General features: G+C 45.7%; 1 protein-coding gene across 4 annotated transcripts in view; it reads left to right on the top strand.

Moving 5' to 3' along the window:
* The window catches only part of MUC16 (mucin 16, cell surface associated), a gene marked incomplete in the record, with an annotated part of 216,908 nt that overhangs the window by 147,950 nt on the left and 54,575 nt on the right, over positions 1-14,383 (top strand). For all 4 annotated transcript variants that reach the window (NM_001414686.1, NM_001401501.2, NM_001414687.1 and 1 more), the window contains 22 exon segments: positions 82-254; positions 903-938; positions 1,197-1,262; positions 2,163-2,287; positions 2,820-2,887; positions 3,480-3,652; positions 3,982-4,017; positions 4,279-4,344; positions 7,294-7,424; positions 7,646-7,713; positions 8,321-8,493; positions 8,843-8,878; positions 9,138-9,203; positions 9,917-10,041; positions 10,278-10,345; positions 10,960-11,132; positions 11,462-11,497; positions 11,756-11,818; positions 12,733-12,857; positions 13,093-13,160; positions 13,774-13,946; positions 14,274-14,309. In NM_001414686.1, the coding sequence (NP_001401615.1) occupies positions 82-254; positions 903-938; positions 1,197-1,262; positions 2,163-2,287; positions 2,820-2,887; positions 3,480-3,652; positions 3,982-4,017; positions 4,279-4,344; positions 7,294-7,424; positions 7,646-7,713; positions 8,321-8,493; positions 8,843-8,878; positions 9,138-9,203; positions 9,917-10,041; positions 10,278-10,345; positions 10,960-11,132; positions 11,462-11,497; positions 11,756-11,818; positions 12,733-12,857; positions 13,093-13,160; positions 13,774-13,946; positions 14,274-14,309 (2,084 nt within the window).

Raw genomic sequence — 14,383 nt, 5'->3', positions numbered from 1 at the left:
TTAGGGGTTGACAAAGAGTGGAAAGGAAGGACAAAAGGATGGAGAGGTGGATGGACTAAGCATATGTAGGTTCTTACCCAGGCCAGAGAAGGATAGCTCAGCCACGGCAGTGGATGCCATCTGCACACATCGCCCTGACCCTGAAGACCTCGGACTGGACAGAGAGCGACTGTACTGGGAGCTGAGCAATCTGACAAATGGCATCCAGGAGCTGGGCCCCTACACCCTGGACCGGAACAGTCTCTATGTCAATGGTGAGCAGCTGTGATGTGGTTGGAGGCTCTTCCTCCTTGCTGAGCAGCCTGTAATCACTGGCTTGAGGTCACACTCACTGTCAGGCAATTGAAAATTTGGTCCTGTGCTCTACATGGGATGACTAATTTCCGGACTTCATGGTATCTTTTTTTTTTTTTTTTTTTTTTTGAGATGGAGTCTCGCTCTGTCACCAGGCTGAGGTGCAGTGGCATGATCTCAGCTCACTGCAACCTCCGCCTCCCGGATTCAAGCAATTCTCCTGCCTCAGCCTCCTGAGTAGCTGGGACTACAGGTGCATGCCACCACACCCAGCTAATTTTTGTATTTTTAGTAGAGACAGGGTTTCACCATGTTGGTCAGGATGGTCTCAATCTCTTGACCTTCTACTCCACCTTGCCTTGGCCTCCCAAAGTACTGGGATTACAGGCTTGAGCCACCACACCTGGCCAGGACTTCATGGTTTCTTCATCATCATGGAATGAATTCCATCAGGGCATTCTTCCCTGATGTGAGGGCACTGATAGGAAATCTTTAATGGTCCCTGCTGCATGAAACTGCTTCCATTGCACCAGGGTAGCCCTGACCCCTATTTGGTCCCCCACATCTCCTTGTAACTTACCCACACTCCTCCCTCCTTCTCTGTGCAGGTTTCACCCATCGAAGCTCTATGCCCACCACCAGCAGTGAGTATTCAACTCATGTCCACATGCCCATGATCCTACACCAAGCAAAGCAGGAGCTGCCCCTCCTCATAAACCCATAAGTCCTCCTCTTGAGCAAAGTAGCTGGGAAGGCAGAAGTTATTCAAGCTCCCCTCTGCCCCAGTTTCAAAGACAGACTCAGCTCAAGCCCACATGCAGCAAACCCTATAAAAGTCTCACCTCTTGGCATTTCTGCCATGGTAATGCTTTCTGCTCTCACTAATGAGGACTTCTCCTCAGCTCCTGGGACCTCCACAGTGGATGTGGGAACCTCAGGGACTCCATCCTCCAGCCCCAGCCCCACGAGTAAGTACCAGTCAATGGCATCTCTATTAGAGCATGCTATCTCTGTCATTTTTACTCAGATGAAGATGGAAAATCATAGCAAATCTACTGATAGTGAGTGGACCAACGAAATTTGTTGGCCACCTAGTGTGTACCAGATCCTAGAGATACAGGAGGGAAAACAAAACCAATACAAAATTTCTGCTCTCAGTGAGCTTGTATTCTTGTCATGATGATGATGTTGGTGGTGGTGCTGTTGATGACGATGATGATGATGATGATGATGATGATGCTGGTGATACTGTTGATGGTGATAGTGATGTTGATGACAATGATGATGATGATGATGTTGAAGAAAATGATGCTGGTGATGGTGGTGGGGGTTATTATGGTAATAATGATATGTTGAGTGTGACGATGATGGTGGTGGTGTTGATGATGATGATGATTATTATGCTAGTGACATTGATGATGGTAATGGTGATATCAACGACAGTGACAATGATGGTGATGAGGATGATGTCGGTGATGGTGGTGGGGTTATGATGGTAATGATATGTTGAATGTGATGATGGTGATGATGATATTTGTGGTTCATGATGGGGATTGTCATGGTGGTGCTGGTGGTACTTGTGATGACAATAATGATAATAATGATGACAATGATAGTGATGATGGTGATGGTGATAATAAAGATAACAGATATCACCTTACAATATTGAGCACTAAATATGTACCAAGAGCTATGCTCAGTATCTAACTACTATTATATAATCTACTTTAGAAAATGAATTGTATCATAGATAAGAAAGGCGTGGAAAATATTTATTATGTCACTCAATTTAATTGCTGCATATGGTTATTACAAAGTGCTATTCTCTCTACTTTGAACATAATGTTTATTTCACACTCCCACTATAGCTGCTGGCCCTCTCCTGATGCCGTTCACCCTCAACTTCACCATCACCAACCTGCAGTACGAGGAGGACATGCGTCGCACTGGCTCCAGGAAGTTCAACACCATGGAGAGTGTCCTGCAGGGTCTGGTTAGTGTCCTGCCCTCCACACTCTGCCCTGCTCATGATACCCAGTCCCTCTTACATCATCCATGCCAGGGCAATGGAAGAATATCAAACCCAACTCACTTTTGCCCCAAGAGATGCAAGCCTCAGCCAGGAGCGGTGGCTCACGCCTGTAATACCAGCATTTGGGAGGCCAAGGCGGGTGGATCACCTGAGGTCAGGAGTTTGTGACCAGCCTGGCCAACATAGTGAAACCTCATCCCTACTAAAATACAAAAATTAGCCAAGCATGGTGGTGCATGCCTGTAATCCCAGCTACTTGGGAGGGTGAGGCAAGAGAATCACTTGAATCAAGGAGGCAGAGGTTGCAGTGAGTCAAGATCATGCCACTTTACTCCAGCCTAGGCAAAAAAGCGAAACTCCATCTCACAAAAAAAAGAAAAAAAGAGAGAGATGCAAGCCTCCCCCACCAAGGCCAGCCCTGCCCACCTCACTTCTGCCTGGCTCTTACATAAAACTTAGCCCTCCTACTCACTGCCCTCTCCCTCCTCCACAGCTCAAGCCCTTGTTCAAGAACACCAGTGTTGGCCCTCTGTACTCTGGCTGCAGATTGACCTTGCTCAGGTGAGAACTTAGAATTTCCAGCCTGGCTGCCCCACTTGTACTCACTCCAAAAGACTTTGCACTGCTTCCTTGCTGCACTTCCTAGGGATATCCTCACCAAAGGTGGAATTCAGGAGTCACAGGCTTCAGGATCAGTGTGTTTCCTGACAGTAACACCCCTACACTCCACCTCAACAGAGAGAATCTGCATGGCCCATCATCAGGATTGAGCCTCTCCCTTTATCATCCCTCTGAATTCCCTCCATTCCCTGTGCCTCCCTTTCCTTTACATGTTAAATTCTGTCCCCAGGATTTCTTTCAGGACAATCATGCCTTATCCACGTGATTTCATCCTCATTTCGAGCTCTTCACTGGGCTCAAGTCCGGCTCCCCGTCCCGTCCATGAAAGTGTCAGTTTCATCTTGTCACTGTATCCGTGACTCCACTCACAGTCCTCAGCAAGCCAATAGTCCATGCACTAAGAGTCGATGTGGCTTCTCACCTCTTTCCCAGGTTTCTCATTTCTCTGGTCCTTGCTGTCCTTCCCTCAGCAATCGCAAGACCCTTCCTAGATAAACTTTTCATTGTGATTTTTCCCACTGACCCTCCCCAGGCCCGAGAAAGATGGGGCAGCCACTGGAGTGGATGCCATCTGCACCCACCGCCTTGACCCCAAAAGCCCTGGACTCAACAGGGAGCAGCTGTACTGGGAGCTAAGCAAACTGACCAATGACATTGAAGAGCTGGGCCCCTACACCCTGGACAGGAACAGTCTCTATGTCAATGGTGAGTGGCTGTGATGTGGTTGAAATCTCTTCCCCCTTGCTGGGCAGCCTCTAATCTCTAACTAGAGATCACACTCCCTGCCTGGCCTTTGAAAATTCTGTCATGTGCTCTACATGGGATGACTAAGGTCTGGACTTCATGGTTTCCTTACCATCATGGACTGTGTTCCCTCAGGGCATTCTTTCCTGATGTGAGGATGCTGATAGAAAATCTTCAATTGTCCCTGTACCATGAAACTCGGTTCATTGCACCAGGGTAGCATTGACCTCCATTTGGTCCCCCACCTCTCCTTGTCTCTTACCCACTCTCCTCCCTCCTTCTCTATGCAGGTTTCACCCATCAGAGCTCTGTGTCCACCACCAGCAGTGAGTATTCAACTCATATCCACATGCCTCGGTTCCTACACCAAGAGGAGCAGGAGCTGGCCCCTCCTCATAAACCCATTAAGTCCTCTTCATAAGCAAAGGATTTAGGAGGGCAGAAGTTATTTAAGTGTCCCTCTGCCCAGCTCAAGAGACCGACCCAGCTCAAGCTACACATGCAACAAACCCCATAAATAGTCTCCCCTCTTGCCATTTCTGCCAAGAGAGTGCTTTATGCTTTCACTGATGAGAACTTTTCCTCAGCTCCTGGGACCTCCACAGTGGATCTCAGAACCTCAGGGACTCCATCCTCCCTCTCCAGCCCCACAAGTAAGTATCAGTCAATGACATCTCTATGAGAGCATACCTGATTAGTGTAAACATCTCTGTCATTTTCACTCAAATAAAGATGGAAAATCATAGTAAATCTAGTGATACTGAGTGGACAAATTTGTTTGTTTGTTTTTTCTCATCCTTTTCACTTTTTTTATTATACTTTAAGTTTTAGGGTACATGTGCACAATGTGCAGTTTAGTTACACATGTATACATGTGCCATGCTGGTGTGCTGCACCCATTTGCTCGTCATTTAGCATTAAGTATATGTCCTAATGCTATCCCTCCCCCCTCCCCCCACCCTGCAACAGTCCCCAGAGTGTGATGTTCCCCTTCCTGTGTCCACATGTTCTCATTGTTCAATTCCCACCTATGAGTGAGAACATGCGGTATTTGGTTTTTTGTCCTTGCGATAGTTTACTGAGAATGATGATTTCCAATTTCATCCATGTCCCTACAGAGACATGAACTCATCATTTTTTATGGCTGCATAGTATTCCATGGTGTGTATGTGCCACATTTTCTTAATCCAGTCTATCATTGTTGGACATTTGGGTTGGTTCCAAGTCTTTGCTATTGTGAATAGTGCCACAATAAACATACGTGTGCATGTGTCTTTATAGCGGCATGATTTATAATCCTTTGGGTATATACCCAGTAATGGGATGGCTGGGTCAAATGGTATTTCTAGTTCTAGATCCCTGAGGAATCGCCACACTGACTTCCACAATGGTTGAACTAGTTTACAGTCCCACCAACAGTGTAAAAGTGTTCCTATTTCTCCACATCCTCTCCAGCACCTGTTGTTTCCTGACTTTTTAATGATTGCCATTCTAACTGGTGTGAGATGGTATCTCATTGTGGTTTTGATTTGCATTTCTCTGATAGCCAGTGATGGTGAGCATTTTTTCATGTGTTTTTTGGCTGCATAAATGTCTTCTTTTGAGAAGTGTCTGTTCATGTCCTTCTCCCACTTTTTGTTGGGGTTGTTTGCTTTTTCCTTGTAAATGTGTTTGAGTTCATTGTAGATTCTGGATATTAGCCCTTTGTCAGATGAGTAGGTTGTGAAAATTTTCTCCCATTTTATAGGTTGCCTGTTCACTCCAATGGTAGTTTCTTTTGCTGTGCAGAAGCTCTTTAGTTTAATTAGATCCCATTTGTCAATTTTGGCTTTTGTTGCCATTGTTTTTGGTGTTTTAGACATGAAGTCCTTGCTCATGCCTATGTCCTAAATGGTAATGCCTAGGTTTTCTTCTAGGGTTTTTATGGTTTTAGGTCTAACGTTTAAGTCTTTAATCCATCTTGAATTAATTTTTGTATAAGGTGTAAGGAAGGGATCCAGTTTCAGCTTTCTACATATGGCTAGCCAGTTTTCCCAGCACCATTTATTAAATAGGGAATCCTTTCCCCATTGCTCAGATTTGTCAAAGATCAGATAGTTGTAGATATGTGGCGTTATTTCTGAGGGCTCTGTTCTGTTCCATTGATCTATATCTCTGTTTTGGTACCAGTACCATGCTGTTTTGGTTGCTGTAGCCTTGTAGTATAGTTTGAAGTCAGGTAGCATGATGCCTCCAGCTTTGTTCTTTTGGCTTAGGATTGACTTGGCGATGCGGGCTCTTTTTTGGTTCCATGTGAACTTTAAAGTAGTTTTTTCCAATTTTGTGAAGAAAGTCATCGGTATCTTGATGGGGATGGCATTGAATCTATAAATTACCCTGGGCAGTATGGCCATTTTCCCGATATTGATTCTTCCTACCCATGAGCATGGAATGTTTTTCCATTTGTTTGTATCCTCTTTTATTTCATTGAGCAGTGGTTTGTAGTTCTCCTTGAAGAGGTCCTTCACGTCCCTTGTAAGTTGCATTCCTAGGTATTTTATTCTCTTTGAAGCAATTATGAATGGGAGTTCACTTATGATTTGGCTCTGTGTTTGTCTATTATTGGTGTATAAGAATGCTTGTGACAAATTTGTTTTGGCCACCTACTGTGTACCAGACCCCAGGAATACAGTAAGAAAAAGAAAATCAATTTAAAAAAAATCTGTGCCCTCAGTGAGCTTGTATTCTTGTGATGATGATGATGGTGGTGGTAGTTACAATGGTAATGATGATGTGTTGAGTGGGATGATGATGATGGTGGTGGTGACATTGTTTATGATGATGATGATGATGATGGTCATACTGTTGATGATGGCAGTAGTGATGTTGATGATGATGGTGATGGTGATGAGGATGATGCTGGTGATGTTAGAGGAGGTTATGATGGTAATTATGATGTATTGAGTGTGATGATAATAGTGATAGTGTTGCTGTTTATAATGATGATAGTGGTGATCTTGATGATGGTGGTGGTGATGATGACAATGATGATGGTGATGAGGATGATGCAGGTGATGGTGGTGGAGGTTGTGATGGTAATGATGTCGTATTGAGTGTGATGGTGATGATGATGGTGGTAGTGTTGCTGTTTATAATGATCATGATAATGATAGTGTTGATGTTGATGTTGATGGTGGTGGTGATGTCGATGACAATGATGATGATGGTGATAAGGATGATTCAAGTGATGGTGGTGGGGTTATGATGGTAATGATGATGTGTTGAGAGTGATGATGTTTGTGGTGGTCATGATGGGGATTATCATGGTGGTGATGATGATAATAATGATGGTGACGTGACAATGATGGTGATGGTGATGATGATGATAATAAAGTTAACAGAAAATGTCAGACAGTATTGAGCAATAAATATTCACCAACAGCTATGCTCAGCATCTACTATTATATAATATACTTTTACAAAAATAAATTATATTATTATAGGCAAGGGAGGCATGGAAAATATTTTGTCACTCAATTTAAATTCTGCATATATTGAAAGATAAGTCTATTGCAAACTCCTATTTTCTCTGCTTTGAACATAGTGTTTATTTCCCATTCCAGTTATGGCTGCTGGCCCTCTCCTGGTACCATTCACCCTCAACTTCACCATCACCAACCTGCAGTATGGGGAGGACATGGGTCACCCTGGCTCCAGGAAGTTCAACACCACAGAGAGGGTCCTGCAGGGTCTGGTGAGAGCCCCACCCACTTTACTCCTGCCCCATCCCAGATACATCATCTATGCCAGGGCTATGGAAGAAGATTGTATCCATCTCACCCTTGCCCACAAAAGATGCAAGCCCTGCTCACTGAGGCCAGCCATGCCCACTGGTGCCTGCTCCACCCACCTGACTTCTGCCCCACACACATGCACCTTAGCCCTCCTACTCACTTTCCTCTCGCTCCTCCACAGCTTGGTCCCATATTCAAGAACACCAGTGTTGGCCCTCTGTACTCTGGCTGCAGACTGACCTCTCTCAGGTGAGACCTTAGAAGATCCAGCCTGGCTGCCCCAGTTGTTCCCACTCCAGTAGATTTTGCTCTGCTTCCTTGCTGCACCTCCTAGGGATATCCTCACCCAAAGGGGAATTCAGGAGTCACTGGCTTCTGGACCAATGTGTTTCCTGATAGTAACACTCCCACACCTCACCTCAACAGGGAGAATCTGCATGGTCCATCATCAGGATTGAGCCTCTATCCTGATCATCCCTCGGAATTCCCTGCCCCTCCCTTTCATTTAGGTGTTAAATTCTGTCCCCAGAATTTCTCTCAAGACAATCATGCCTCATCCAAGTGCTTTCATCCCTGTTTCTAGCTCTTCACTGGTCTCAAGTCTGGGCTCTCCTGTCCCCATGCTATGAGAATGCAGGTTTCACCTTGCACTTTTATAAGCATGGTTGTATCTGTGACTCTGTGCACAGTCCCAAGCAAGCCAGTAGTCCATGCACTCAGAGAATCTAAGTGTAGCTTCTCACCTCTTTCCCAGGTTTCTCATTTCCTCTGGTTCTTTACTGTCTTTCCATCAGCAGTCTCAGGACACAACCTAAGTAATCTTTTCATAGTCATTCTCCCCACCTACCTTCCCCAGGTCTGAGAAGGATGGAGCAGCCACTGGAGTGGATGCCATCTGCATCCATCATCTTGACCCCAAAAGCCCTGGACTCAACAGAGAGCGGCTGTACTGGGAGCTGAGCCAACTGACCAATGGCATCAAAGAGCTGGGCCCCTACACCCTGGACAGGAACAGTCTCTATGTCAATGGTGAGCAGCTGTGATGTGGTTGGAGTCTTTTCCTTCTAGAGTCTGGAAAGAATCTAATCTGTGGCTTGAAGTCACACTCCCTGCCTGGCCATTGAATATTCTGTCATGTGGTGTAGATGGGATGACAAAGTTCTGGACTTCACAGTTTCTTCATTGTCGTGAACTGTGTTCCCTCAGGGCACTCTTCCCTGTTGTGAGGATACTGATAGGAATTCTTTAATGGCCCCAGTCCCATGAAACTCATTGTCCCATGAAACTCATTTAATTGCATTGGGATTGCCATGACCCTTATTGTGTCCCTCATATCTCCTTAACGCTTACCAAGTCTCCTCCCTCCTTCTCTATGCAGGTTTCACCCATCGGACCTCTGTGCCCACCAGCAGCAGTGAGTATTCAACTCATGTCCACATGCCCCTGATCCTACATTAAGTGGAGCAGGAGCTGGCCCCTCCTCTTAAACCCATAAGTCCTCCTCTTGAGCAAAGGAGCTGGGAAGGCAGAAGTTATTGAAGCTCCCTTCCACCCTAGCTCCAAAGACAGGCCCAGCTCATGCCCATATGCAGCAGACCTCATAATAGTCTACCTTCTTGCCATTTCTGCCATGAGATTATTTTCTGCTTTCACTGATGAGCACTTTTTCTCAGCTCCTGGGACCTCCACAGTGGACCTTGGAACCTCAGGGACTCCATTCTCCCTCCCAAGCCCCGCAAGTAAGTACTAGTCAATGGCATCTCCCTTAGATTATGCCTGATGAGTGTGAACATCTGTGCCATTTTCACTCAAATGAAAATAGAAAATCATAGTAAATCTAGTGATACTGAGTGAACCAAAAAAATTTATTGGCCACTTACAGTGTACCAGACCTTAGAGATACAAGGAAAAGAAAACTAATAAAAGCACCTCTGCCCTCAGTGAGCTTGTGTTCATGTGATGATGGTGGTGGTGGTTATGATAGTAATAATGACATGTTGAGTGTGATGATGATTGATGATGATGGTGATGCTGTTGATGATGATGGTGGTGATGTTACTGGCAATGATGATGATGGACATAAGGATGTTGTCAGTGATGGCTGTGAAGGTTATGATGGTAATGATGGTGTGTGGAGTGTGATGATGATGATGATGTTGCTGTTTATGATGGTGAAAGTGATAGCAACAATCATGATGGCCAGTCATCATAAATATAACAGATAACATCAGACAATATTGAGCACTGAATATGCATGATTAGCTATGCTCAGCATCTAACTACTATTATATAACATACTTTCATAAAAATAAATTGTATTATTATAGGCAAGGGAGACATGGTAAATATTTTGTTTCTCAATTTAAATTTTGCACATGTTTAAAGATAAGTCTATTCTAAACCCCTATTTCTTGACTTTGAACATAGTGTTTATTTTCAATTCCCACTACAGCTGCTGGCCCTCTCCTGGTGCTGTTCACCCTCAACTTCACCATCACCAACCTGAAGTATGAGGAGGACATGCATCGCCCTGGCTCCAGGAAGTTCAACACCACTGAGAGGGTCCTGCAGACTCTGGTTAGTGCCCTTCCCTCCTCACTCTGCCCAGCCCCAGATATCCAGTCCCTTCTACATCATCCATGCCAGGGTGATGAAAGAAGATAGCAACAACTTCCCCCCTTCCCCCCAAGAGATGCAAGCCCCACCCACAGAGACCAGTCCTGCTTATTGGTGCCTGCTCCACCCACCTCACATCTGCCCCGACACACACACACCTTAGCCCCACTACTCACCTCCCTCTCCCTCCTCTACAGCTTGGTCCTATGTTCAAGAACACCAGTGTTGGCCTTCTGTACTCTGGCTGCAGACTGACCTTGCTCAGGTGAGACTTTAGAAGAGCCAGCCTGGGTGCCCAACTTGTTCCCACTCTAAAAGACTTTGCACTGCTTCCTTGCTGCACTTCCTAGGTATATCTTCACCAAAAGGGGAATTCAGGAGTCATTGGCTTGAGAACCAGTTGTTTCCTGATAGTAACACCCCCATGCCCCAACTCAACATGCAAAATCTTCATGGTTCATCATCAGGATTGAGACACTACCCTGATTACCCATCTGAATTCCCTCCTTTCCCTGCCCCTCCCTTTCATTTAGGTGTTAAATTCTGTCCCCAGGATTTCTCTCAAGATAACCATGCCTCATCCACATACATGCATCCGCCTTTCAAGCTCATCACTAGTCTGAAGTCTGGGTTCTCCTGTTCCCATGCCATGAGAATGCAGGTTTCACCTTGCACTTTTATAAAAATTATTATATCCATGACTCTGCTTGCAGTCCCAACCAAGATAGTGGTCTATGTACTCAGATAATCTAAGTGCAGATTCTCACCTCTTTCCCAGATTTCTCATTTCCTCTGGTTCCTTGATATGTTTCCCTCAGCAATCTCAAGACAAGTCCTAGGCAATCTTTTCATTGTCATTCCCCCTCCTACCTTCCTCAGGTCCGAGAAGGATGGAGCAGCCACTGGAGTGGATGCCATCTGCACCCACCGTCTTGACCCCAAAAGCCCTGGAGTGGACAGGGAGCAGCTATACTGGGAGCTGAGCCAGCTGACCAATGGCATCAAAGAGCTGGGCCCCTACACCCTGGACAGGAACAGTCTCTATGTCAATGGTGAGCAGCTGTGATATGGTAGGGGTCTCTTCCTCCTGGCTGTGCAACCTCTAATCTCTGGCTTGGGGGCACACTCCCTGCCTGGCCATTGAAAATTCTGTCACGTGCTCTACATGGGATGACTAAGTTCTGGACTTCATGGTTTCTTTGTTATCATGAGAGGCATTCCCTCTGGGCACTCTTCCCTGTTGTGAGGATGCTGATAGGAAATCTTTAATGACCCCTGTCCCATGAAACTCATTTAATTGCACCAGGGTAGTCCTGAACTCTATCGCGTCCCCCACATCTCCTTAACCCTTACCCAGTCTCCTCCCTCCTTCTCTATGCAGGTTTCACCCATTGGATCCCTGTGCCCACCAGCAGCAGTGAGTATTCAACTCATGTCCAGATGCCCCTGATCCTACATCAAGTGGAGCAAGAGCTGGCCCCTCCTCTTTAACCCATAAGTCCTCCTCTTGAGCAAATGAGCTGGGAAGGCAGAAGTTACTCAAGCTCCCCTCTGCCCCAGCTCCAAAGACAGACCCAGCTCAAGCCCACATGCAGCAGACCTCATAATAGTCTATCTTCTTGCCATTTCTGCCATGAGAGTGCTTTCTGCTTTCACTGATGAGGACTTTTTTCAGCTCCTGGGACCTCCACAGTGGACCTTGGGTCAGGGACTCCATCCTCCCTCCCCAGCCCCACAAGTAAGTACCAGCCAATGGTATCTGTATTAGATCATGCCTGATGAATGCAAACATCTGTGCCATTTTCAGTCAAATGAAAATGGAAAATCATAATAAATCTAGTGATACTGAGTGAACCAAAAAAAATGTATTGGCCACCTACAGTGTACCAGACCCTAGGGATATAGCAAGGAAAATAGAACCAATAAAAACATCTCTGCCCTCAGTGAGCTTGTGTTCATGTGATGATATGATGGTGGTGGTGGTGGTAATAGTAATAATGACATATTCAGTTTGATGATAATTTATGATTATGGTGTTGCTGTTGATGATGGTGGTGGTGATGTTACTGACAATGATGATGACGGACATGAGGATGTTGTCAGTGATGGTTGTGAAGGTTATGATGGTAATGATGTGTTGAGTGTGATGATGATGATGATGGTGGTGGTGCTGTTGATGATGGTGACCATGGTACTGATGGTGTTGATGATGGTAGTGGTGACGTTGATGACAATAACAATAATGGTGATGAGGATGATGCCAGTGATGGTCATGTGGTTATTATGATAATGATGATGTGTTGAGTGTGGTGATGATTATGTTTGTGGTGATCATGATGGGGATTATCATGGTGATGATGATAATAATGATGGTGATGGTGACAATGATAGCAACAATGATTATGGCCATAATAAAGATAACAGATAACATCAGACAATATTGAGCACTGAATATGCACAACTAGCTATGCTCAGCATCTAACTACTATTATATAATATATTTTTATAAAAATAAATTGTATTATTATAGGCAAGGGAGACATAAATATTTTTCTCTCAATTTAAATTTTGTATATGTTTAAAGATAAGTCTATTCCAAACCCCTATTTTCTCTACTTTGAACATAGTGTTTATTTTCAATTCCCACTACAGCTGCTGGCCCTCTCCTGGTGCCGTTCACCCTCAACTTCACCATCACCAACCTGAAGTACGAGGAGGACATGCATTGCCCTGGCTCCAGGAAGTTCAACACCACAGAGAGAGTCCTGCAGAGTCTGGTTAGTGCCCTTCCCTCCTCACTCTGCCAGCCCCAGATATCCAGTCCCTTCTACATCATAGATGCCAAGGTGATGAAAGAAGATAGCACCAACCTCACCCCTGCCCCTGAGAGATGGAAGTCCCGCCCACAGAGACCAGCCCTGCTCATTGGTGCCTACTCCTCCCACCTCACATCTGCCCCTAACACACACACTCCTTAGCCCTCCTACTCACCTCTCTCTCCCTCCTCCACAGCTTGGTCCCATGTTCAAGAACACCAGTGTTGGCCCTCTGTACTCTGGCTGCAGACTGACCTTGCTCAGGTGAGACTTTAGAAGAGCCAGCTTGGCTGCCACAATTGTTCTCACTTTAAAAGACTTTGCACTGTCTCCTTGCTGCACTTCCTAGGGATATCATCACCAAAAAGGGAATTCAGGAGTCACTGGCTTGAGAACCAGTTGTTTCCTGATAGTAACACCACCATTCCCCACCTCAACAGGCAGAATTTTCGTGATCCATCATCAGGATTGAGGCACTACCCTGATCACTCCTCTGTATTCCCTCCTTTGCCTGCCCCTCCCTTTCATTTAGTGTTAAATTCTGTCCCCAGGACTGCTCTTAAGACAATCATACCTCATCCACATACATCCATCCCCCTTTCAAGCTCTTCACTAGTCTGAAGTCTGGGTTCTCCTGTCCCCATGCCATGAGAATGCAGGTTTCACCTTGCACTTTTATAAAAATTATTATATCCATGACTCTGCTTGCAGTCCCAACCAAGATAGTGGTCTATGTACTCAGATAATCTAAGTGCAGATTCTCACCTCTTTCCCAGATTTCTCATTTCCTCTGGTTCCTTGATATGTTTCCCTCAGCAATCTCAAGACAAGTCCTAGGCAATCTTTTCATTGTCATTCCCCCTCCTACCTTCCTCAGGTCCGAGAAGGATGGAGCAGCCACTGGAGTGGATGCCATCTGCACCCACCGTCTTGACCCCAAAAGCCCTGGAGTGGACAGGGAGCAGCTATACTGGGAGCTGAGCCAGCTGACCAATGGCATCAAAGAGCTGGGTCCCTACACCCTGGACAGAAACAGTCTCTATGTCAATGGTGAGGAGCTGCAATATGGTAGGAATCTCTTCCTCCTTGCTGGGCAGCCTCTAATCTCTGGCTTGGGGGCACACTCCCTGCCTGGCCATTGAAAATTTTGTCATGTGCTCTACATGGGGTGACTAAGTTCTGGACTTCATGGTTTCTTCATCATCATGAACTGCATTCCCTTGGGGCACTCTTCCCTTTTGGGAGAATGCTGATAGGAAATCTTAATGGCCCCATCCCATGAAACTCATTTAATTGCACCAGGGTAGCCCTGAACCCTATTGCATCTCCCACATCTCCTTAACCCTTACCCAGTCTCCTCCCTCCTTCTCTACGCAGGTTTCACCCATCAGACCTCTGCGCCCAACACCAGCAGTGAGTATTCAACTCATGTCCACATGCCCCTGATCCTATATTAAGTGGAGCAGGAGCTGGCCCCTCCTCTTAAG

The sequence above is a fragment of the Homo sapiens genome, chromosome 19 (assembly GCF_000001405.40).
Source record: "Homo sapiens chromosome 19, GRCh38.p14 Primary Assembly".
Classification (NCBI taxonomy): domain Eukaryota; kingdom Metazoa; phylum Chordata; class Mammalia; order Primates; family Hominidae; genus Homo; species Homo sapiens.
The sequence above is the reverse complement of the archived record's forward strand: the minus strand, read 5'-3'. Positions and strand labels throughout refer to the sequence as shown.